Source organism: Homo sapiens, chromosome 1, assembly GCF_000001405.40.
Source record: "Homo sapiens chromosome 1, GRCh38.p14 Primary Assembly".
Taxonomy (NCBI): Eukaryota; Metazoa; Chordata; class Mammalia; order Primates; family Hominidae; genus Homo; species Homo sapiens.
In genome coordinates, this window is record NC_000001.11 from 178,000,687 (window position 1) to 178,026,520 (window position 25,834).

The window sequence follows — 25,834 nt, forward strand, 5'->3', positions numbered from 1 at the left end:
CCAGGTGAAGTAATTCATATCTGCTATGGAAGAGATAGGAAGTTATCTGTTATCAGTTCTCTCTTCCTGCTGCTGTGTACCCCCTCTGTCAAAGTCATATTCCCAAGAGATACACATGGAGCTTAAAGGATCCTGCTGGTAAGACATACTTCCCCTGCTCCCAGATCTCCATCAGCTTTCCCGCCTTAGAGAACTGCAATATTTTTCTCTCTCCCTTAAATCCTAAACCAATGATAGCCATAAGAAACCAGTCCCCACGGTTTTTCTCATCCAGCCCCTGTACTGGCTTTTTTCAGGGTTCCTAAGATCCACAAGAACCCTGGAAGTTACCCGAGATCAAACACCCCCATCTTTTAAGTGGCATCTTATCACCCAAAACATCTAAAGGAGAAGACAGATGTTTGGAAAGTTCTCCCTACTTTTAGTTCTTTAGTTTACCCACCAGATCTTCCCAGAGAGGGAAAGGGGTATCAGAAAAGGGGTGTCTGCACTCTCTCCACCTCCTTAGAGGACCAGGGATTCTTCCCTGCCCTCCATCCTCTCTATTTCTGAGTTGCAAGTACCGCTCCCTAACTAGGCTAGGGTCAGGACGGGCACGGTAAAGCTCATCCCACCTGAAGGGCATAGAACTGGAAATGCTGCAATAAAAGAGGAAATTATTACATTTTGAAGGATAAACCTATTTATCAATGACAAAACACTTTCAGAAACACCACTTCATTTGAATCTCTCATAATAGTTTATACTACCTTCCCTCTTCCTTTCTTTAACAGATGAGTAAACTGAGGTACACAGAAGAGAAATGATTCTCTAAAGTTACAGAGGTAATAGTTGCAGCCAGCCAGGCCCCTGAGCCCAAATTCTATGCTCTCTGCTCTCCAGCATGTACACTCAGGAATCTTGATTTAGATAAGGATGCCAGATAGAGACAGGAAAGTTTAATAGTCATTCCGTATCCTCATCCTAACAGATTAGGGAGATTTAACCAAATAGTTTTGGTTTCATTTTATAATCTCCTATGAATCTATCCTCCAACAATATAAATCTCTTACAATATTTGCTTTTGGTCTTAGCAAACTTTAAGAGTAGTAAGTTCTATATGCTTACTCTTCTTCTGTTAAAAAGTGCTATTTTTACTTTGCCCTAAAACTATTTCTTTAAAATGTTAAAGTCGTCCGTAGTTCCTATGCTCGGGGATTTAATAAGTTCATATTTTTATCCTAGGTTTTCGTTATCTTGTAAATCTCAATCATATTCCCCCCTCAGCCCATGTCTTTCCTTCCAGAATGAAGAGTTCCAATTCTTTTATCATCGCTCACAAAGAACGCTCTCTACCCTCTTGATCAACTTACATGTCCTTCTCTAGACCTTGTCTGGCTCTGTAATTCTTTGAAGTACATCAGATCATTGGGCTCCCATCACTCTGTCTATTCTTCTGTATAAAAGAGCACAATGGCTTTAGTTAAAATGTAAAAATATTTGACGGATCATTTTAAAAATCAAACAATTCTTTTGCTCCATGTCAGCCCAGCATATGCTGAAAAAATATACATTTTTTTGCTCCAATAAAATGAAATGAATTGAACTCTGCAATGAATTTAAATACACTGGTAAAAGTCAACCTTGTAATCTATTATGAAAATAACTTGCAAAGCACTTTTACATACATTATCTCATTTGACCCTCACATGAACCATGCAAGGTAGAGAAAACATGTGATCCTTATTTTTCACATGAAAACAGTAAAAAGGTAACTAGACTAAGATCAAAGAGCTGGAATTAGAGTCCCAGTCCCTGGCCCTTCATTAAGAGGACGGTGCTTTTGCAACTGTGCAGTGCATCCTTCCTTATATTCACTTGGCACTTATTTTAAATCACCAAACTACCCCTTCTAAGACTTTTAGTGGTAAACAGCACAGTTATGAAATATTACATGGTTCTATTGAAAGGAAACATGTTCAAGACTAGCCTATACCCTATTCTTTTCTCACCCTACACACTCTCCATGGATAATCTCAGCCACACCACAGGCATCAATATCACCCTCATGCAAATGATTCCCAAAGTTGTATCTCCAGGCCACATCTCTCTTCTGAGTCCCAGACAGGTATTTAACATGTCCTGTAAATCTCAATATTTACAAAACTTAACCTTTTGCCCCATCATAGCCCATCTCCACTGCCAAAACCCAATTTTGATGTCCCTCTTCTCAAACATCTAGGAGCTAGGAGTCATCTTGACATTTCCCTCTCCTTTCCTCCTCCTTACCCCTATACCCAATTTAACATCAAGTCCTTTCACTTTCATCTCCTGCATAGCTCTGCCTTCTGTCCATTTCTCTCCTTCCCCATCACCACCACCTTAGTCCAAGATACAACCATCTTTCATTTGGACTTTAATGAACTCCTAGCTGTCCATTCCTCTCTAATCCCTTCTCCCCACTACAGGTGAAGGGATTCCAAAAGGCCATTCTGGTCATGCTACCCCGTTTCACCTCTGCTTACAACACTGCAATGGCACCCCTTGCTTTTAGGGTAAAGTCAAAACTCCCATAACTTGTTTGCACATCCCTGCCTAACCTGGTCCCCACTGCCAGCCTCATCTCACAACAGTTACCTTCATTCCTCAAGCTTCAGCCCCACTAGCCTTCTTTCAGCTCCCTTTATTCACTGTGCTTTCACTACCCACAGGGTCTGGGAATATTCTTCCCTTTCTTCCATATCTAAATCTCTAGGATTAAATTCCTAGAAGCTTCCATCTTCAGATAGAGGCTCAAAGGTCTTTCCTCAGGGAATGTTTCTTGACCTTCCTGAGTTGAATTCCTCCATTAGACCTCAGATGGCACCAGTTTAGCATGATTTTATATATTTGATTAATGTTTGTCTCCCCCACTAGATTTGTAAACTTTTGCTCACATAGAGGCACATTGATAAACATTTATGTGAATAAGCTCACTAATAAGGAAATGATTATATATTATATACCTCCTCACTATGGAATACTAAGCAGCTGTTAAAAAGAGATAACTCTATATACTAATATGAATGTCTATATTTTAAATTTAAAACAGCACATTACAGAACAGTATGCATACTATTTTTAAAACTTACATATCTTTATTTAAAAAAAAAAACACCTCTGTGTTTGTGGAGGGAGTGTGGAGGGGGCCTCTATTTAAAAAGGTTTGCAAGAGTCAAGACTAACAACAAATTGCTTGCAGTGCTTTCCCGGGAGAATGGAAATGAGACAAGAAAGAGGAAAAATAGGATAACAATTTCTACTTATAAATTTCTTGGTGGTTTGACTTTTCCAGTGACTATATGGTATTGTTGTAATTATTTTAACAATGCCATTTCTAAAATAATGATGTAGTTCACCAAAGTTCAAGAAAAGGATCATTTCTAAATACAGTGCGAAAAAGGGAAAAAAGCCACTTTGTATATGATTCCTCAACAAGGATACAGTTCTAGAAACAAGCTAATTTCCAAGTCAGACCTTCAATCTAGCAATAAGTTCTGATGAAGACGTGAAATGGAAGAGAACAAATGGAAATGCCAGAATTTGTTTGTTTAATTCGGTCTTCCCCTCACATCACTTTTATAAACAAAAGAGATTTCAAAAAGTCACTGCTGGCCTGGCACGGTGGCTCACACCTGTAATCCCAGCACTTTGGGAGGCCAAGGTGGGTGGATCACTTGAGGTCAGGAGTCCAAGGCCAGCCTGGCCAATATGGTGAAACCCCGTCTCTAGTAAAAATACAAAAATTAGCTGGGTGTGGTGGCAGGCGCCTGTAGTCCCAGCTACTCGGGAGGCTGAGGCAGGAGAATGGCGTAACCCGGAAAGTGGAGCTTGCAGTGAGCTGAGATCGTGCCACTGCACTCCAGCCTAGATGACAGAGTGAGACTCCATCTCAAAAAAAGAAAAAAAAAAAGTCATTGCTCATTGATTCCTTTATATAAACTTGGAAGGAAAATAAGAAAAAGAAATAATAAAATGAATTTTTCTTAGTTTACTCCAATTGTTTTAAATTAAATACAATTGAGTACATGAAGGCACCTCACCATCCTTTACTTCTCAAATAGCAGCCCTTATTATCTTTACCATAACTCAAATAGAAAAGGTCATTTTCTAAATTCACAGAGATTACAGAGGAAGGAGCAGGGACAAATATACTGGTGGTGCATAGATAGGATCATTCCACGGCTAATGGCAGAAAATCTCACTTTGGTTTGGAGAGAAGTATGTGCAGGTGGAGAGACCCACAGTTATTGAAAAAGGGGAGGTGGGCGTGTGGGCATGATTCCTCCAGCAGCAGCCTACGAGGAAACGCTGGGAAAAGTCTGTGAATATAGAATAAATACTGTCACTTGGAGCTGCATTGATTCTTTTTTCAGACTAACTAATGGCTCAGATGGTAGAACAACCAAACGATGACTAAAATATGAGTCAAATGCTTTCAAATCAAATCATTCCAATGAAACAGGAACAGAGGCAAGCAGAGAACAGGTCATTAGGGGTTCTAACCAAAACGTGTTAAATCTGAAAAAACTCATTCTCCTAAATGACTGTCTCTTTCTATTTAAGTCATTTTGATGTTAGTGAACCAGGGACAATAGATCTTTATTACTTGTGACACGTACTGATCAGCTCTCAGCAGCAGAAAAGACAGCTCCTGGCTGGGCTCATACACTTTTCCCAATCCTGATTTGTCTTCTCTCCCACGATCTATCCAGCATGTCTTCAGTTATGCCAAAGGGTGTTAGAAAACTCTAAAATAAGGCTCAAAGTTTACTTTCTTAATATTTTTGAAAACCAACTTTCACTTAAATATAAAAGTAGTTCATATTAAGATGAAATGGGGTTGGGGGAAGGGAAGTGAGAAGAAGCCTATTATGAAATGGAATCACAGGGCATGAAGCTCCCAGAAGGCTGAAACACACCCCCTGAGATACGGAAGAGGCAGCAGCATGTGCGCTGGGCGTTGTGGAGGCACCACGTGGCCCACAACACACACGTGGGTGATTTCCCTGACATCTTTCTCCTCCCTCTTCCTTCTGCTAATTTCTCCATTTTAAATTCTTTCCTCAAATGTTAATCCCTATTTTACCATTCTATTCTTCAAAAAAATATATATTTTTTCTAAACAAAGCCTCTTACCACATTTATTGGAAGCGGACTTCATCAAGAATAAGTGGAAGTACCTACATCTCCCTGTTGTGTCAGGTGCCTGTTTTTATCCCCATGCCACCTCCTCCTTTCTGAGAATTATCACTCATGCAGTAGGAGGAATAGAGCACAATGTTTAGCACCCAGCAAAAGTACAGGACCTCTCCCAACAAACCAGGATGCCGGCAGAGACTGGAGCTGACTTCAACCTAAGGTACGCACGCTACACACATTCCCAGTTCTCCTCCCTGAATGGATTCACTTAGAAAGGAGGATAACATGATTTTTTAAAAAACTTCTTTTATTGTTTTAAGACATACACAAAATTTATCATTTTTACCATTTTTAAGTGTGCACAGTTAAGCAGTACTAAGTACCTTCCCATTGTTGCGCAACCATAACCATCACACATCTCCAAAACTTTCCATCTTCCCAAACGGAAACATTGTATCATTAAACAGTAACTCTCCATTCTCTCCTCCCACCTTGCAACCACCATTCTACATGTTGCACATTGAGTATCCTTTATCCAAAATCCTTGAGACCAGAAGTGTTTTAGACTTCAGATTTTTTCAGAGTTTGGAATATTCACATTATGCCAGTTGAGCATCCCAAATCCAAAAATCCAAAATCTGAAATGCTCCAATTAGCATTTTCTTTGAGCATCGTGTCGGCATTGAAAAAGTTTCAGTTTTTGGAGCATTTCTCATTTCAGATTTTGGATGTCAACCTGTACTTTCTGTTTCTATGAATTACACTACTCTAGGTACTTCATATAAGTGGAATCATATAGTATTTGTCCTTTTCTGTCTGGCTTATTTCACATATAATGTCTTCCAGGTTCATCATATTGTAGCACATGTCAGAATTTCATTCCTTTTTAAGGCTGAATAATATTCCATTATGTGTATACCACATTTTGTTTATCCATTCATCCATCAATAGACATTTGGGTATTTCCAGGACAATATATTCTTAATTTAATCCCACATTTTAAGACTTACAGGTAATTTAAATTCAATTCAACTTACTGAGTATTTACTAAGGGTAACTCACTATGGGAAGTACTGTGGGAAATACAAGGGTAAATAAGACATGGTGCCTGCTCTCAAGGAAATTATGATAGACTGGGAAAAGGGAAGAGAAAGAAGTAGAAGTAACCAGCATTTGCTAATCGCTTGCCATGTGCCAGGTGCTTTACCCAATCGCTGCATGTATAGCTCCCAATGACTCTGTAAGTTAGATATTGTAATATCTACTTTATATAGGAAGAAGAATGAAGGCACTGAGACTTTAAGTAACCACCTCCAAAGCTGGGATTTAAACTCGTATCTTGGATTCAGAGGCCTGTGTTCATTCCACTACACATGCTGTTCCCTATGATTCAAGGCAGAATGTGATAAATCCTTGGGGAGAAGCTACAGCAAGGTAGAAGAGGAAGAGAAGAGATTGCTCCTTGCCTGAGGGTAAAGGTACATGACAAAGGTAGGTCTTAGAGGTCAGGAAGGCTTACGTTTGACAGAGATGGAGGGTGGAAAAAATTGCACAAGCAGAGCAAAATGAGGGAGGCAGGAAAGTTCAGTACATACTTAAGGCCCAGTGGAATTGTGGACCACAAGGCTGGAAAGTGGTGCGGGGAAAAATCACGGTCATAATGAAATGCTAGCTCAAGGGCTCTGAACTCCACCATCAGGCAATGGTGAGCCACTGTAGGTTTTCTGAGATGGGCCATAGTCAGAGCTATGCTTCGGGAAGATCACGATGGCAATAATGCATCACAAGGATGGAGGGGGTGAGAATAGCTTAAAGGTAGGAAAAGCAGTTAGAAGGTCACTGGTAATAGCAGTTGAGGCTTAATTAGTCAGAATGGAAAAGAGGATATGGACATGAGAGATATCTTAGAGGTGAGAATGACAGAACTCGGCAATCACCGCATTTCATAATGCATCAAGTAGGCTGACCATATATCCTGGTTTGCCTGGGATATGTTTTCCTGATGTAATTACTAATGGCACCCTTTTACTCTCGAAAAGGTTTGGACAATAAACTATATAATCATATTAATTAGGAGCAATTAGTAAACAGAATCAAAGGTGACTCCAAGATTTTAAACCTGGATTAGTAAGGAAAGTGGTAACACCTTTGGAAACACAGAAGGGAAATCAGGTTTTGGGGAAAGATGTGGAGTTTTGATCTGGACATGTTAACTTTGCTGCTCAGGCAAGGATTTATTTAAGAGCGAGAAGCACCTTGCCCACGGATTTCCCCTGTATCACATGAAGGAAGGCATCATTGACCTAAAACAAAATGCAAAAGAATGTGGTCAGATTTGCATATATGGATATTTCAACAAACATTTGATGCAGGATCAAGCAATAAAATAACTAAAGTATTAAGATGTATCTCCAATGAACTATAACTAACTATGCAACACTAACTAGTTATCACAAATGCAAAGGAAAACAATAACATTCAAGAATAACTCAGCCTCAGTATTTCTCTAAATGTATAATTCTCAGTGTTGTCAGATAAATGCCAGACGGTAAAAAGCCCTAGGCCTGTTCATACACCACTGTAATAGTGCTTTGTTTTCCAGCTTTTGAAAGAATGGAGGCACTGGCAGAAGAATCAGTATTTTTATGTTTAATAATTTTTGTCTTTTTATTAAAATTGTCCTACTTCCTATGTAACTGAAATTGTAATCTATCTTGAATCATTTTTTAGGAAGTACAAGGTTACAAACCATATATTTAAAAGCAGCTACAGTAATCAAGGCAGTGTGATATTGGTGAAAGAATAGACAAACAGATCAATGGAATAGAATAGAGAGCCCAAAAATAGACCCATACAAATATAGTTAACTGATCTTTGACCAAAGAACAAAGCAATTCAATGGAGACAGAATAGTCTTTCAACAAATGGTGCTGGAAAAACTGCACAGCCACATGCAAAAATATGAATCTAGATACAGACCTTATACTCTTCACAAAAAAAAACCTTAAAATGGATCATAGACCTTAAATGTAAAATGCAAAACTATAAAACTTCCAGAAGAAAATATAGCGAAAAATCTAGGTCACCTTGGTTTAGCAATGAGTTTTTAGATACAGCACCAAAAAAGCACAATCCATGAAAAAAAAATGGGTAAGTAGTCTTCATTAAAGTTAAAAACTTATGCTCTGCAGAAGACACTGTTAAAAGAATAAAAAGACAAGCCACAGTCTGGGAGAAAAATCTCTGCAAAACATATATCTGACAAAGGATGTGTATCTAAAATATACACAGAATTCTTAAAACTTAACAATAAAAAGCAGGCAAAAGATCTGAACGGACACTTCACCAAAGAAGATATACAGATGGCAAATCAGTATATAAAAAGATGCCCAACATCATATGTCACTAGGGAATTGCAAATTAAAACAACAATGAGATACCACTACACACCAACCAGAATGGCTAAAATCCAAAACACTAACAGTAAATGCTGATGAAGATATAGAGCAATAGAAACTCCCATTTGCTGCTAGAGGGAATACAAAATGGTACAGCCACTTTGGAAGACAGTTTGGCAGTTTCTTACACAACTAAACATATCCTTACCATACAATCCAGCAATTTCACTCCTAGGTATTTACCCAAATGATCCGAAAATGTATGTCCATATAAAAACCTGCACATAAATGTTTATAGCACCTTTATTCACAATTGCCAAAACTTGGAAGCAACCAAAATGTCCTTCAATAGGTAAATGGAAAAACAACCAGTGGTACATCTATACAATGAAATATCATTCTGTGATAAGAAGAAATGATCCATCAAGCCAAGAAAAGACATGGAGGAACCTTAAGTGCATGTTTCTAAGTGAAAGAAGCCAGTGTGAAAAGGCTACATGCAGTCTAAATCCAACCATATGACATTCGGGAAAAAGCAAAACTGTAGAGACAGTAAAAAGATCAGTGCCTGCCAGGGATTCAGGGGCTGGGGGTAAAGATGACTATGTGGAGCTCAGAGGATTTTTTTAGAGCTGTGAAGCAATTAAATCTAGACAAAAAGCAATTAAATCTAGACAAAAGTGATAGTAGCATGACAAATGTGGAAGGAGACTTTTGCAAAGTCTCAAACTAACATCTAGAACTTTGCTACTCAAAGGGTGGTACAAGAACCCCAGGCTTCCGCATCATCTGGGAGCTTATAAGAAATGCACAGGTTTGAGCCCCATCCTGTCTTTATTGAACCATAATCTGAATCTTAAAAAGATTCCCAGGTGATTTATATGCACATCAAAGTTTGAGAGCCACAGATTACACAAGGAACGTTTGCAACTTAGAGAAAGACAGGAAGGCCAGGCGTGGTGATTCATACCTGCAATCCCGGCATTTCAGGAGGCCATGTTGGGAGGATCGCTTGAGCCCAGGAATTGGAGACCAGCCTGGGCAACACAGGGAGACCCCATCTCTATTAAAAAGGTTTTTTTAATTAGCCAGGCATGGTGGCACATGCCTGTAGTCCCGGCTGCTCAGGAGGCTGAGGTAGGAACTCACTTGAATTTGGGAGGATTGCTTGAGGCCCAGAGGTAGCCTTCAGTGAACCATGATTGTGCCACTGCACTTCAGCCTAGGTGACAGAGCAAGACCTCATCTCAAAAAAACAAGAACAAAACCCAAAGACAGGAAGCCCAATAGAAAACTACACAAAGAGCTTAAATTGCAATTCAAAGCACTGGAAACCTGAATGGATACCAAATATATAAAGAGATACTTAAATGTATTAGAAATCAGGAAAATTCAAAGTAAAATAGTAAGATGCCACTTTACGCCTTACCAGTTTGGCAAAATTCTGAACGTTGGACATATCAACAGGGTGACAAATAAACAAGAATTCTCACGTACTGATTGACGATAGAGGCATAAACTGGTCAAGTCATTCTGGAGAGTAACTGGCAGTCAAATTAAGTATGCATACATCCTATGACCCAACAATCTACACCTGGGAAAATAACCCCAACGTGACCTTTGCACAAGTCCCTAAGGTTGTGCAATAAGTCTGTTTACTGCCATACTGATTATTATGATTTGATTAGGGCATCAAGTCAACCGCAAAGTTTATCAGTAGAAAATGAATCTATAAACTGTGGTGGATGCATACGATGCACCACGATGTAACAGTGGGAAGCAATGAACTGGATACAGGAACAGCAACACAGATGGATCTTAAAAAGCACCGACTGAGTTATATGAAACAGAACAAGGTCTAGTGCATAACACCATTTATGTAACTTAAAAAGAAATTAACACACAAATTAACTCTATTTGTTTTACAAGGAAATGCAAATCCAAAGATGCATATCAAACTCATCACAGACTGGCTCAGAAGGAAGGAAAAGGTGGGGAGAGGCAGTGGGAAATGAGGGGAAAGGGAATAATACAGACATTCATAAATATACAGACATAAAAACAAAAGATCAGCTGTCCATGGCCCAACAATGAAAATGTACTTTGAAATGACGATTATGATTAATCAACCCTTTCCGTTTGAGATTCTCAAAAAAAAAAAATACAAAAAATAAAGTAAAATAAGTACAGGAACAAATCAATCATGGCAATCTCTCTGCTGCATGAAATCCCTGCATGAAATCCTCTGAAAACATCTGTTTTTCAGAGCTCTGTGCCTTACAGAGACCTTTCCCATCTAAGCAAGTTTAGACTCTCGACGAGGAGGTGGAAGAGGTCTAAGACAGATGTTTGAAACACTCATCCCCCCTGTCAGTCATTTCCAGGTGACTCACAGCTGCATCATTCTCCCTGTCAGTTAGAAGTAACTTGTTCCCAGAGATGTGTCATAGCCCGACAATAGAAAATACTTGAGAAAATAAATATTATTAAAGCTAGTGATACTTTTTCACCTGGCATCCTAAGGGAGTCAAGGTCTTCTGCAAATAAATGTTAACATAAAAAGAAAGCTGTCCCTTCAAATGCTCAAGCTAATTTTAATCATTTTGCATAAAAATCTTTATTAAAATGTATCACATATTTCTGTGACTTCTATTACAGAGAATACTGGGGGAAAGCATAATCTTGTTCCATGACTTCAGCATTTCAAAATTTTGAACATCCATTATTTTACCTTCTATTTTTCTGATATTCTGTCACCTCTCCATGTCCAGTTGCCACTTCTGTTGTAACTGTAGCTGCTTCTAAAAATAACCCAACTCTGTCCCTTTCTACCTGGTGGTCTCTGTCCGGGCTGGGAAAACAGACTCTCAGTGGTGTTAAGGACTGGAAGTTTAATAAAAGTGATAAGGCTCTGAGTGAGAAACTAAAAAGTAAAATGCATGGCTTTAGACCAGAGTCTTTTGATAGCTACTTCAGATAGACTAGGGACGCTTTCCTCCTGGATTCTACAGGCTGTGTTACAGAGAGGAAGACTGTACAATACTGATGCCTAGGTGTAATAGATACACAGGCTGTTCCCAGCACTCTGGTTTTCTGCCTTCAGGTGGATGAAGCCATAATTAAATTTGTCTCTGGAGATATGCAACCTGGAATTTGCAGCAAGATAAAAACACTGCTTTTGTTTTAGGATATGAAGGTTCTGCTGTTGGAATTTTTAACTAGTTCATCAATCAGGAATAATCAAAGTAACCTAGAGTTTTCTAAATATATCATATTGATGTGTGCATTCATTAGAAACTGGCTCTCCCCCATCATAGTACTGTCCTGAGATCTTCCCAACTAAAACATAAACTCCTCATGGGCAAGACTAAATCTTACTTTTTATTGACTGACATAAAGTGAATGTTTGATGAATAAAATAAATCATGAATGAATGAGTATATGTGAGATGAGTGGGACTGGGTTTTTTTTCTAATCGTTTTTGGAGTACAGGTGGCTTTTGGTTACATGGATAAGTTACTTAGTTGTGATTTCTGAGATTTTAGTGTACCCATTACCCAGCAGTATACATGGTACCGAATATGTAGCCTTTTATCCATCCCCCAAATCTTCCCCCAAACCGAGACCCCAAAATTCATTAATATCACTCTTATGCCTTTGAGTCTTCATAGCTTAGATCCCACTTATAAGTGAGAACATACGGTATTTGATTTTCCATTCCTGAGTTACTTCACTTAGAATAATGACCTCCAGCTTCATCCAAGATGCTGCAAAAGGCATTTTTTTTTTTGTCTCTTTTTATGGCTGAGTAGAATTCCATGGTGTACATATACCACATTTTCTTTATCCACTCATTGGTCATTGGGCACTTAGGTGGGTTCCATATCTTTGCAATTGCAAATTGTGCCACTATAAACATGTGTGTACATGTCTTTTTCATATAATGACTTCTTTTCCTTTGGGTAGATACCCAATACTGGGATTGCTGGATTGAATGATAGTTCTACTTTTAGTTCTTTAAGGAATCTCCATACTGTTTTCCATAATGGTTATGCTAATTTACATTCCCACCAGCAGTGTAAAAGCGTTCCCTTTTCACCACATCCACACCAACATCTATTGTTTTTTAACTTTTTAATTATGGCCATTCTTGCAGGAGTAACATGGTATCTCACTGTGATTTTAATTTGCATTTCCCCAATTATTAGTGATGCTGAGCATTTTTTTCATACGTTTGTTGGCTGTTTGTATATCTCTTTTTGAGAAATGTCTATTCATGTCCTTCCCCCACTTTTGATGGAACTATTTGTTTTTTTTTCTTGCTGATTTGAGTTCCTTGTAGATTCTGGATACTAGTCCTTTGTCAGATGCATAGGTTGCAAATATTTTCTCCCTCTCCGTGGGTTGTCTGTTTACTCTGCTAATTATTTCTTTTGCTGTGCAGAAGCTTTCTAGTTTAATTAGGTCCCATCTATTTATTTTTTGTTTTTGTTGCATTTGCTTTTGGGGTCTTAGTCATGAATTCTTTGCCTAAGCCAATGTCTAGAAGAGTTTTTCTGATGTTATCTTCTAGAATTTTTATGGTTTCAGGTCTTATATTTAAGTATTTGATCCATCTTGAGTTCTTGAGTTGATTTTTGTATAAGGTGAGCGATAGGGATCCAGTTTGTTTCTTCTAGATGTGCCTGCCAGTTTTCCTAGCACCATTTATTGAATGGGGTGTCCTTTCCCCAATTTATGTTTTTGTGTGATTTGTTGAAAGTCAGTTGGCTGTAAGAATTGGGCTTTATTTCTGGGCTCTCTATTCTGTTCCATTGGTCTATGTGCCTATTTTTAAACCAGTAGCATGCTGTTTTGGTAACTATGGCCTTGTACTATAATTTGAAGTTGGGTAATGTGATGTTTCCAGATTTGTTCTTTTTGCTTAGTATTGCTCTGGCTATGTGGGCTCTTTTTTGGTTCCATATGAATTTTAGGATTGTTTTTTCCAGTTATGTGAAGAATGATGCTGGTATTCTGATAGCAATTGCATTGAATCTGTAGATTGCTTTGGGCAGCATGGTCATTTTCACAATATTGATTGTTCCCATCCATGAGCATGGGATATGTTTCCATTTGGTTGTGTTATCTATGATTTCTTTCAGCAGTGTTTTGCAGTTTTCCTTGTAGAGATCTTTCACCTCCTTGGTTAAGTATATTCCTAGGTTTTTGGGAGGGTTTTTCTGTTTGTTTTTTGCAGTTATTATAAAAAGGATTGAGTTCTTGATTTGATTCTCAGCTTAGTCGCTTTGGTGTACAGTAGTGCTACTGATTTGTGTATAATGATTTTGTATCCTGAGACTTTACTGAATTCATTTCTCAGATCTGGGAGCTTTTTGGATGAGTCTTAGGGTCTTCTAGGTATACAATCATATCATCAGCAAATGGTGACAGTTTGACTTCCTCTTTTCCAATTTGGATACCCTTTATTTCTTTCTTTTGCCTGATTGCTCTGGCTAGGACTTCCAGTACTATGTTAAATAGAAGTGGTGAAAGTGAGCATCCTTGTCTTGTCCCAGTTCTCAAGGGGAATACTTTCAACTTTTCCCCATTCATTATGATGTTGGCAGTGGGTTTGTCATATACAGCTTTTATTACTTTGAGGTAAGTCCCTTCTATGCCTATTTTATTGAGGGTTTTTATCATGCAAGGATGCTGGATTTTATCAAATGCTTTCTCTGTACCTATTGAAATGATCATATAGTTTTTTTTTAATTTTTTTTATGTGATGTACCATATTTATTGACTTGCATATGTTAAACCATCCCTGCATCCCTGGGATGAAACCCACTTGTTCATGATGCATAATCTTTCTGATGGGCTGTTGGATTTGGTTATCTAGTATTTTGTTAAGGATTTTTGCATCTATATTCATCAGGGAAATTGGTCTGTAGTTTTCTTTTTTCTTATGTCCTTTCCTGGTTTGCGAATTAGGGCGATACTGGTTTCACAGAATGACTTAGGGAGCATTACCTCTTTCTCTATCTTTTGGAATGGTTTCAGTGGGATTGGTACCAATCCTTCTTTGAATGTCTAGTAGAATTCAGCTGTGAATCTATCTGGTCCTGGACCTTTTTTTGTTTTTGGTAATTTTTTTATTACTGATTCAATCTCTCTGCTTGTTATTGGTCTGTTCATGGTTTCTATTTCTTCCTGATTTAATCTAGGAGGGTTGTATGTTTCTAGGAATTTATCTATTTCCTCTAGATTTTCTAGTTTGTACTCGTAAAGGTGTTGGTAGTAGCCTTGCATGATCTTTTGTATTTATGTGGTATCATTTGTAATATCTCCAGTTTCATTTCTAATTGAGCTTATTTGGATTTTCTCTCTTCTTTCCTTGGTTAATCTCACTAATGGTCTATCAACTTTGTTTATCTTTTCAAAGAACCAGCTTTTATTTCATTTGTCTTTTGTATTTTGTTGTTGTTGTTGTTTCAATTTCATTTGGCTCTGCTCTAATCTTTGTTATTTCTTTTCTTCTTCTGGGTTTTGGTTTAGTTTGTTCTTGTTTCTCTAGTTCCTTGAGGTGTGACATTAGGTTGTCAATTTGTGCTCTTTCATGCTTTTTGATGTAAGCATTTAATGCTATGAACTTTCCTCATAGCGCTACTTTTGCTGTATCCCAGAGGTTTTAATAAGTTGTGTCACTATTATCATTCATTTCAAAGAATTTTTTAACTTCCATCTTGATTTCATTGTTAACCCAAAAATCATTCAAGAGCAGATTATTTAATTTCCACATAATTGTATAGTTTTGAGGGTACTTTCTGGAGTTGATTTCCAGTTTTATTCCACTGTGGTCTAAGAAGATACTTGATATAATTTTGATTTTCTTAAATTTATTGAGACTTGTTTTGTGGTCTTCATATGGTCTATCTTGGAGAATGTTCCATGTGCTGATGAGAAGAATATAGAATACTACAGGTGCTGGGAAGAATTTCTGTAAGTATCTGTTAAGTCCAATTGTTCTAGGGTATAATTTAAGTCCATTGTTTCTTCATTGACTTTCTGTCTTGATGATCTGTCTAGTGCTGTCAGTGAAGTATTGAAGTCCCCCATTATTATTGTGTCACTATGTCATTTCTTAGGTCTAGTAGTAATTGCTTTATAACTCTGGAAGCTCCAGTGTTAGATTCATATAAATGTAGGATTATAATATCTTATTGTTGGACTGATCCTTTTATCATTACATAATGTCCTTCTTTGTATTTTTTTTTAACTGTTGCTGCTTTAAAGTCTGTTTTGCCTGTAAGAACAGCTACTCCTGCTCTCTTTTGGTTTCTATTTGTGTGGAACATCTTTTTCCACCCCTTTACCTTGAATTTACACGAATCCTTTTGTGTTAGGTGAGTCTCTTGAAGATAGCAAATATTTGGTTGGTGGTTCTTTATTCATTCTGCCATTCTGTATCTTTTAAGTAGAGCATTTAGGCCATTTACATTCAATGTTAATATTGAGATGTGAGGTACTGTTCTATTCATCGTATCAGTTGTTACCTAGATACTGTTTTTTTCATTGTGCTATTGTTTTACAGGCCCTGTAAGACTCACGCTTTAAGGAGGTTCAACCCTGGCCTACAGAATTGGGATAGTTTCTAAAAGGTAAAAACTTTTGGTTAGCAGGATGTTGTCATAGGTGAATTATATTCATCACATCATTGATCTAAGTTTATCTAAATCTTAGATACCACTACAAACCTAATGAAATGGCTAACATTCAAGGAAACAACTGACAAGACTAAGTTTTGGCAGATGCAGAGCAACTGGAACTCTCACACACAGGGAATGCAAAATGGTACAAGCACTTTGGAAAATAGTTTGCCAATTTATTAAAAGCTAAACATGTAGTAGCAAACCAGTGCAAGCAAACTCCCAAAGTGTTGAAACAGAGAGCTCAACTTTGGGCACATTTGTATGCCAGAGCACCAGTTTCTAATCCAGAATACAGCCAAAGAAATGGAAAACCTGTGTGATACGGGCTTTGATAGGAATGTAGTAACAACAGCCTTCTCTTCAAAATCATAGGACATAGAAACCGAAACAGAATTGTTTCTGAATAACTGAGGCATAGAGAAACAGCTGCTGATATAATCGAAGTTGCCTCTTTTTGAAGTGGCATCAACATCTGCTCTTTTTAGAATTCTGCACGGATTTATTTTAAAGTTATCATTCGGTAGCAGCTACAATTCAATCCTTGCCTTATATCATTCTTGCTTCATGATGTTATCTAGGCAAAAATGGAGAATTAGGAGAAAAGTAAAACCAATCACACATCTGTGTAAATTGTCTTAAGTTAAACATACATCTAGCATATAACCCAGAAATCTCAGTCCTAAAATATATAAAACCATATGTCTATACCTGTCATGAATGTTTATAGAAGATACATTCACAATCACCAAAAAACTGAAAATAATCAAATGTCTGCATACTGGTGAATGAAAAAAACTGTGGTACATCCATACAATGAAATACTACTCAGCAATAAAAAGGAATGGACTACCGACACATGTAGCAACATGGTGCACCTCAGAAGCATTACGCAAAGAGAAAGAAATCAGACCCAAAAGGCTACATACTGAATGATTTCATTTACATGACACTCTGGAAAAGGAAAAATTAAATGGGAAGAAAACAGGTCAGTGACTACCAGTAGCTGTGGAGCAGGAAAAGGAGACTGATTACAAGGCACAAAAGGGAACTTTTGGGGGTGACGGAAATGTTCTTATATCTTGGTGGGGTAGCTACGTGCTGTATAGGTTTGTCAAAACTCAGAGAACTGTACACCTAAAAAGGGTGAATTTTATTATACGTAAATTATATCTCAACAAACTTAACTTTTTTTAAAAAAAGTCAGACAATGTGGTACTGAACATAAAAATAAATAAATTTTTGAAGTTGAGCATCAGCATAAGCCCTTAGAAAATAGAACCTAATCAAAAGTTATGCCCTAATGCATCAGAGGGTTGCAATCCCAGGGAGGCAAGGGTAACAGAAAAAGTAAAACAAACCAAGGAGAGAAGGAGAGAAACTACAGGGCACTGTGTTACTGATTTTGAATTGGTTGTAGTTTCAGGGGGACATGTAGTTGGCTGTTGTTCACACGGGACCTCTATAGAGAAGCCATTGGATAGAGGCAATGGTTGCAAAAAAATAAATAAATAAATAAAAAAGGCTGGGCAGAGTGGCTCACACCTATAGTCCCAGCACTTTGGGAGGCTGAGGCGGGTGGATCACCTGAGATCAGGAGTTTGAGACCAGCCTGACCAACATAGTGAAACCCCATCTCTACTAAAAATACAAAATTAGCCATGAGTGGTGGCAGGCGCCTATACTCCCAGCTACTCGGGAGGCTGAGGCAGGAGAATCACTTGAACCTGGGAGGCAGAGGTTGCAGTGACCGAGAACATGCCACTGCACTCCAGCCTGAGCAACAAGAATGAAACTCCATCTTAAATAAATAAATAAATAAAGCAGCAGCCATATGAAACAGTCAACAGGGAGGAGAAAAGGCAAACAATTTATCTCCTTTCATTCCTCCCAATGAAAAGCTTGCCCAATGGAGTAAAATATCCATACTTCTGAACTGCATTGCCCAGACCCTGCATACAGTTTCTGGGGAAGCCAGAAGCTTCAACAGGTCCATTTGGATCAAACCTCTGTACCAGCGCTGCAGAAGCTCCTGTATGATGAACACAATAGTGGCCTTGCCTCTAGGATCAGCTCCCAACCCAGGAAAGCACAAGGCAATCAATGATGTTAGGAGATGCATCCTAGAGATAGTGGTCTGGGCTGTATGCATTGTAGGATCAGCTATAGGAGGCATCACTGGAAAAGCATGACAAGTGGCCAAGGCCTGGGGCAGGTGGGGCCAGCAGATATGAGGAATTCCTCAAACTGGGTCTAGAACAATGGGCTATAATTAATAGACCTTCTAAACTAAAAGAGTAGTTTCATTTTTAAGAATATGCCACAGATACACTAAGAAAATTTCAAGCAATTTCTATCCATTAACAATTTCTATCCATCTGTTCATATGATGATCTCACTTGACCTTTAAATAATAAATAAGCTCAGATCTGTGAGGTTAAATACCGTGTCAAGCTGACACATTCAGAGACAGCTCCCTACAGAAAACAGACACTGCACATCAAAATAATGCCCTCCTCTGGACAGATTACAGGACCAATTCATGATCCACCCACCACAGCATAGATATAATCCTTCAGAAAATAATAAATTCTAGGTAGAATTCAAAATCTAAAGACTGTCTTATAATCCTTCCCTCTGAGACATCAAAGCAAAAGTGTTACAGTTCAGGGGAACTGAAAAAGCTCAACTCCATATTTTATCATGGAAATATATTATGCTTTTAAAAAGTTACTATATTCATTATGTGCTTTTACATGTATCATGTTATTTAATCCTCATAATCACCCTAGGATGCAGGGTATATTACTGCCCCTGCTACAGATGAGAAAACTAAGGCACAAATATGTGTAATTTGCCCACAGCCAGCGTCTGAGCGCTGTTGGTCTGAGCCCAGAGCCCCACACACACACAGTCATTCAACAGGTATGTGAGCACCTGCCAGAAGCTGGAGATATAGAGGTGCAGACAGCACATGGCCCTGCTTGCACAGAGTTTATGCTCTATGGGAAAGACAGGCATTAAAGAAGTAATCACAAGTAAATAAAGGACAAGCAGAGTCCTATGGAAGTTCACACCCTGTGCCTACTCAAAAATCTATGGTGCAAAGTTTGTGGTCATATTAGTATCAACTATCAAGGTTAAATCTGCAAGTACACATATTCAGGAGAAAATACAAGCCAGTCAGAAATACTAGTGCATTTTAGTTTGTATTTTCTCTATATACAGTACAGTGGTCATTTTCCAAACCCAAACAGGTCCTGATAAATAACTTTTTCCAGTATGTTAACTAATTTACACGTTTACTGATTTACTCATTTAATATTTTTCTTACCCAGGCTTTAAAGTTCAGTGAAATTAATTATATATTCATTTAACCATCTTCATTTTCAAAAGAACAAAGAACAAAAGAACAAAATATATAAATTCTGGTACTGCTCAGGAAAATATAAGAGTATAACTATAACATAGTTAAAATAATCTCTTTCACACAGATAATTCTATGATAAATAGATAAACTGCATCCTATAGAATAAGGCTTCTCAGAAGTGACTTCTTGGCTTGTTTGAGGAGAGAGTTTGACAGTCATAAGCAGCCCAGATTCTGGCATCAGATGGAGCAAGACTAGATTTACTTCCTACCTATAACTGGACAAGGCTCCTAGCCTCTATAAGTCCTGATTCTTTCATCCGTAAAATATAATAAAGTTGGCATACCTCAAAGGGTTGTTGTGAAGGTTAAAGGAGATAATGCATGTAAAGTGTTTAGCATAGTTCTTGACCCACAGTAAGCACCTAATGTATATGAGCTGTCATTCCTATTATGAATCCTCTAAATGGTTTGCATATTGAAAGAAACAGAAAAAGAAGACATGGTAAATGGATGGTATATGAATGAGATGCTTGAAATGTGTGAGGGAGCATGGCCTAAAGAGCCACCCGATTACACCAAGGGCAGCAGAGTGAGAACAACTCTATACATCCCACATGCAGAGACCTCACTGGAAAGGAGAAGGGCAAATGGAAGCTGACAGGTGGTTAGTAATTACATAGTCAATTCATGTTTACAGAGGAGAGAGAACTTCAACGGGGATAATTAAAACAATAATCCACCTCTGGCTTTCGTTCCTGCCTAAACGGCACCTAAAAGACCTTGAGAGAGAAGAGACAGTTCAAACAGACACTTGTTTCCACTTCTGTATGCCTACTTGTCCTTATCCCTTATCAACAGGTATAGCCTCAGGTTAGAAGTCACGTGATAAACGCCACAGGATGGAAGGGGACCCAGAACTTGGGGTTTTCAAGTTTTAAAGCCACAAGACCTCTGCTTAAAAGTCTGAAAAAGTAGTTAAAATGTGCAGCTACTCAAACCCTAGCAGCGATGGGGTCCCACAGCCCAGGCAGCTCACATCTATGGCTGCTGCCCTAGCCCCACATCCCTGCTGTGGCTCCTGCAGCACAGTCTAAAAACCACTCATCACGTCCTCCTGCTTATTTAGAGAGGCAGAAACTGAAGTCAGAAAAGCAAGGGGATTTCCACAAAATAGCATGGCTGGAGGGATGAGCTGTGACTGGCATCCAACCAGTTTTCTACTGGCCAGTCAGGTTCTCTTCACCATTGAACACCATCTTCCTGACTTACATATTAAAAAGATAAAGAAAATAAGCCATGTTTGAAAAGAACGGGTCTCCTCACAGAAAGAAACAACCATGGAAGGCTGGTTAGCAATGAAGTCTGGCATCGACAGCTTGGGCTCCACTAATCTGCATTTGAACAAAATATCACCTCCATCTATGGCTGACAAGAGTTACCAAGACAGTTTTTTGAACATTAAAATAAATTAAGTCAAAAAAAAATAAAGATTTCACAGTGAATGCCTAACAGATTCACATTTACAACTATATTGCATATGCATGCTCACAATTACACTTCAGAGGAAGTTTAAGCCACATTAATGAGACTGGGGGGAATGAAAAAAGGTAGTGAATAGCCAACAAAATTAACTACAGTGACTAATGGATGAATTATAGTCTTATGATGCCAGGCATTATTTAGTGTTCTCCTCACAGAACCCCAACTTAGATCATCTGGTTGTGCTTTAAAGCATCTATATTTTAAAACCAAAGGTCATGCCAAGCACTTTCTTCTTAGGCTTGTATGTTGTAGAGTTCAAAGTTCATATCAACACGTGTAAATCATTTTCTAAAGAACCGTAACTTTCCTCTATTTGAGGGAGCAGTGATGCACACAGAGCCCTCAAATTTCGGCTTCACATGGCCTTCACGGATTCAGATTCACATTAGGCCTGAGTTTACAGCCATACAACCCAGAAGGCTGGGAAAAATCCTGTGACCCTGACACCTGTGCAATCCCACTATTCTGTGTTGCATTTTCATCTTTTCCTTTTATAAAAAGAGGACTGATAGCATCCAGAGATAAACTGCCCAGTAGCTTGCACAAGTTATTTCCTGGCCTCATCTGCATCACATCCCTTAAGTGTGTCTCACCTCGTCCAGCTTGAAAACCATTCTGACATATAGCTGGATGCACCCTTGCTGGCAGTACTGAAGCACTGAAGATAGGCTCTTGGAGAAGACGGGAAAGTTCATATCTTTGTATTGACCACAGTACAGGCCCATAGCAGAGATATTCTTCAGGAGCAGAAGGTTGGCTGGTTCAGAAGCAATGTTTCCTCCAGCAAATCCCACCACCACAATCCTGCCCTCCCATGCCAGGCTGAGGAGAAAGAGAAGAAGAAAAAGAAATGATAAAAAAGCAACATACATTCACACCCATTAGGAAGGCTAGTCTCGTAAAATAACAAGTGACAAATGGCGAGGATGTGAAGAAGTTTAAGCACCTGTGCACTGTTGGTGGGATTATAAAACAGTGCAACTACTATAGAAAACAGTATGAAGGTTCCTCAAAAAATGAAAAATAGGTTCAGCAATTCCACTTCTGATATATATCTAAAAGAATTGAAAGCAAGGTCTCAAAGAGATATTTGCACAGCCATATTCACAGCAGCACTATTCACAATAGCCAAGAGGTAGAAGCAGTCCAAGTGTCCATCAACAGAAAAATGATAAACAAAATGTGATATATACATATAATGAAATACTATTCTGCCTTAAAAAGGAAGGAAATCCTGTCACATGCAATAACATGGATGATCCTTGAGAACATTATGCTAAGTGAAATAAGCCAAACACAAAAAGGCAAATACTGTACGATTCCACTTATATGAGATATCTAAAGTAGTCAAATTCGTAGAAACAGAAAGTGAATGGTGGTTACCAAGGGCTAGGGAAAGGGAGGAAAGGAGAGTCGCTGTTTAATGGCTATAGAGTTTCAGGTTTACAAGATGAAAAAGTTCTTGAGATCTGTCACATAACAATGTGAATATAATTAACACTACTGAACTGTACACTTGAAAATGGTTAAGATGGTAAACTTTATGTTATCTGTTTTTTACCACAATAAAAAAAGTAAAATGAAAAAAAGAGCAATGTACATTCATTCACAGAGACAGAAAGTAGGACAGAGGTTACCAGGGGTTGGGGAAGGGGAAAGAGGCAGTTAATATTTAACAAGCACAGAGTTTTTGTTGGGGATGATTATGCAACATTATGACTGTATTTAATGCCAGTGAATTGCACACTTACAAATCATTAAAATGATAAATATTAGGTTATAGTATATTTTACCAACATTAAAAAAACCAACATGTATTAAATCCACAGCTGGGCAGTCCTCTTGACCTTGCAGACTGGCAGGAGTGAACCATCATTTATTACTTTGGGCTTCTCAGTAAAAAAAAAAAAAATATATATATATATACACACACACACACACACACATATATATATATATACACATATATATATATATATACCATAAGCAAAGTATTAGGGAACCAAAGGAACTAGACAATTTTATAAGGGGGCCCACTTAAAATCCAGGCTGTTGAGCCAGGTGCAGTGGCTTAAACCTATAATCCAAGCACCTTTGGAGGCCAAGGCAAGAGGATCATGTGAGCCCAGGAGGCCAAGACCAGCCTGGGCAACATAGTGAGACCTTGTCTCTACAAAAAATAAAAATATTAGCCAGAACACGATGAAACCCCATCTCTACTAAAATTACAAAAAAATTAGTCGGGCGTGGTGGTGGGCGCCTATAGTCCCAGCTACTTGGGAGGCTGAGGCAGGAGAATGGCGTGAACTCGGGAGGCGGAGCTTGCAGTGAGCAGAGATAGTGCCACTGCACTTAAGCCTGGGTGGCAGAGAGAGACTCCATCTCAAAAAAAAAAAAAAAAAAAAATTAGCCAGGCATTGTGGCACATGCCTGTAGTCCCAGTGATATGGTTTTGCTGTGTCCCCATCCAAATCTCATATTGAATTGTAGTTCCCATAATCCTCACATGTCGTGGGAGGGACCCAGTGGGAGGTAATTTAATCAAGGGGGCAGTTACCTTCATGCTGTTCTCGTGATAGTGAGTAGGTTCTCAAAAGATCTGATGGTTTTATAAGGGGCTTTCTCCAGCACTTCTCCTTGCTGCTGCCATGTGAAGAAGGACGTGTTTGCTTCCCTTTCCACCATGATTGTGAGTTTCCTGAGGTCTCCCCAGCCATGCTGAACAGCGAGTCAATTAAACCTTTTTCCTTTATAAATTACCCATTCTCAGGTATGTCTTTATTAGCAGTGTAAGAACAGACTAATACACCCAGCTACTCAGGAGGCTGAGGGAGGAGGACTGCTTGAGCCCAGGAGGTCAAGGCCGTAGTGAGCCATGGAGCCATGATTGCACCACTGTGCTCCAGCCTGTGTGACAGAGTGAGACCCTATCTCAGAAAAAAATGAAGAATCAAGACTATCTATTTAACTACCTCAACCACTTTGTGGAAGAAAATTGGGCAATGTCATTCCATAGGTTGTACTGAAACAACTCAGTTTGAAGATTATGAACTTAGGAAGCAGGAATAAGAAGAAATACACTTTAATGAGGGAAGGACCATTTGCTTTATACAAAGACTTACTTTAGGATTCCTTTAACACATTGCCTCTTTAGAGAATTTTAAATAAACTACAAAAATGCATAAGTATTCTGTAGCCCAGTATGAAAATTCCCCTACGGTACCATTGCTAAGCAATGAGTTACAGAAACAACTTTTGCAAACATCTTTGATATAAAATATGTGTATATTTGTTTGGCTTTTGCTTTTTGCTTTTCTTCTTTAGAAGGGAAATGAGAAGCTATTGCAAAAACACAATTATCCAGAAGGCAAGAAGGAAGGCAAGAGATGGGCGAGTTTTACCAGCTGTCTATCCTGGCTTTCCACTTGGACTACACGCTCCTTCCTTTGCTTCTCCTCTAAGCACAGCACCAGGCACAGTGCAGAGATGAACAAACATATAGACTGCCTGCCACTCAGCTCAGGGGCTAGAGAACCAACTGGACCCCTTTTGTGGGTAGGCTGCTCTCTGCTTCTGCAGCTTCTACCTGAAACTGAGATAAACTACAAAATTATGCTTGCCAGGACGACATGAGAAATGAAACCAATGCTATCAGAGTACTCCAGAATCCTTGGTTGAAAACAGAATGAGAATTGGTGTGATACAACACTCCTACTAAATCTCCAGTGATATTTTTTAAATAAAACAAGTCAAGGAATTATCTACGCTGCTGGCTGCTTCAGAAAGCAGTAAGATCAGAAGAGCCTGTAGTTTGGTCCACAATGAACTGGGAAAAGGGGAACTGCCACCCCAGTAATTCTAATAGCTGAACAATGCCCTCTGCAAGAATTCCCCACAGACATGGATATAAAGTAGTTAGTGAGAACTGGCATAACTGAATTTAACACATGAATAATTTCTAAAGCATTTGGCATTGCCAACTAAGAGAGTCTGCAGTCATTTTTTGGATATTTTCCAGATGGGTATTTTGTTTTTGCTATATATAAGCATTTCCTGATTTTCTCTGCTTCTATTCCTTTTCACCCACCCACTTGCTGTTCTCGTTGATGCTGATGCCTACAGAAGAAATGAAAAGCAAAGATGAGAGAGAAGCAAGGCCAGAAGGAAGGCAGAGATCAGGAAAGGTTTCAGCTCCAGCCCACTCTAGACAGACCACCCCATGCACCTGCGGAGAGCCTCCAGGCAGATGTCTCCTCCCACCATGTCGATGGCCACATTCACCCCGCCCTCGCCCACCAGCTTCCTTACTGCATCCTTCAGGCTGCCCTGACTGTAGTTCACGCTGGACTGCGCACCCCTCTGCATCGCCAGCTTGCACTTCTCGTCACTTCCAGCAGCAGCTATATTACCTGCATCAAGAACACAAGATATCTGATTATCCAGAACATGTCCCAAGAAAGGGGCACCCCACCTAACCCATCTCCAGCCCAAGGGTGCTACTCAAGGAAATCATTGTGACCTTGCTGCCCTGGCACTGGCCTTGAGCCCACACATCAGGCCCAACACACAGACCATCCCACTGGCCCCTCCATGCCCTACTAGTCATGAGGTCCACATTTCTAGGAATCGTGGAACCCTAACAAGGATAGCTAGAAGGTGGTTCAAGAGACATTC

At 38.9% G+C, this 25,834-nt stretch overlaps 1 protein-coding gene and 1 pseudogene across 11 annotated transcripts in view, besides 1 other annotated feature; both read right to left on the reverse strand.

Moving 5' to 3' along the window:
* CRYZL2P-SEC16B (CRYZL2P-SEC16B readthrough) overlaps positions 1 to 25,834 on the reverse strand; it is a 109,189-nt gene that overhangs the window by 71,899 nt on the left and 11,456 nt on the right. The window contains exons 4-6 of one of the 3 annotated variants that reach the window (NR_151492.2): positions 25,469 to 25,569; positions 23,718 to 23,803; positions 21,754 to 21,982 (exon numbers count right to left, since the gene is read on the reverse strand). The gene's annotated coding sequence lies outside the window, so the exon portion shown is untranslated. The remainder of the gene's footprint in view (positions 1 to 21,753; positions 21,983 to 23,717; positions 23,804 to 25,468; positions 25,570 to 25,834) is intronic. The other 2 variants (NM_001356505.2, NM_001356506.2) reach the window with 2 other exon arrangements.
* Positions 5,450 to 25,834, reverse strand: part of CRYZL2P (crystallin zeta like 2, pseudogene) — a 31,872-nt pseudogene continuing 11,487 nt past the window's right edge. For 4 of the 8 annotated variants that reach the window (NR_151483.1, NR_151486.1, NR_151489.1 and 1 more), the window contains 3 exons: positions 25,469 to 25,569; positions 21,754 to 21,982; positions 5,450 to 7,463 (listed from right to left, as the gene is read on the reverse strand). The product of NR_151483.1 is annotated as a crystallin zeta like 2, pseudogene, transcript variant 2 (transcript). Of the gene's footprint in view, positions 7,464 to 21,753; positions 21,983 to 23,717; positions 23,804 to 25,468; positions 25,570 to 25,834 lie in introns of all 8 variants that reach the window. The other 4 variants (NR_151488.1, NR_151487.1, NR_037167.1 and 1 more) reach the window with 3 other exon arrangements.
* Positions 10,795 to 10,995: a silencer, noted in NCBI's record as "peak475 fragment used in MPRA reporter construct". NCBI's record gives its function as "represses an SCP1 promoter by STARR-seq MPRAs in K562 erythroleukemia cells {active_cell/tissue: K562}" and the evidence as "EXISTENCE:reporter gene assay evidence [ECO:0000049][PMID:32103011]".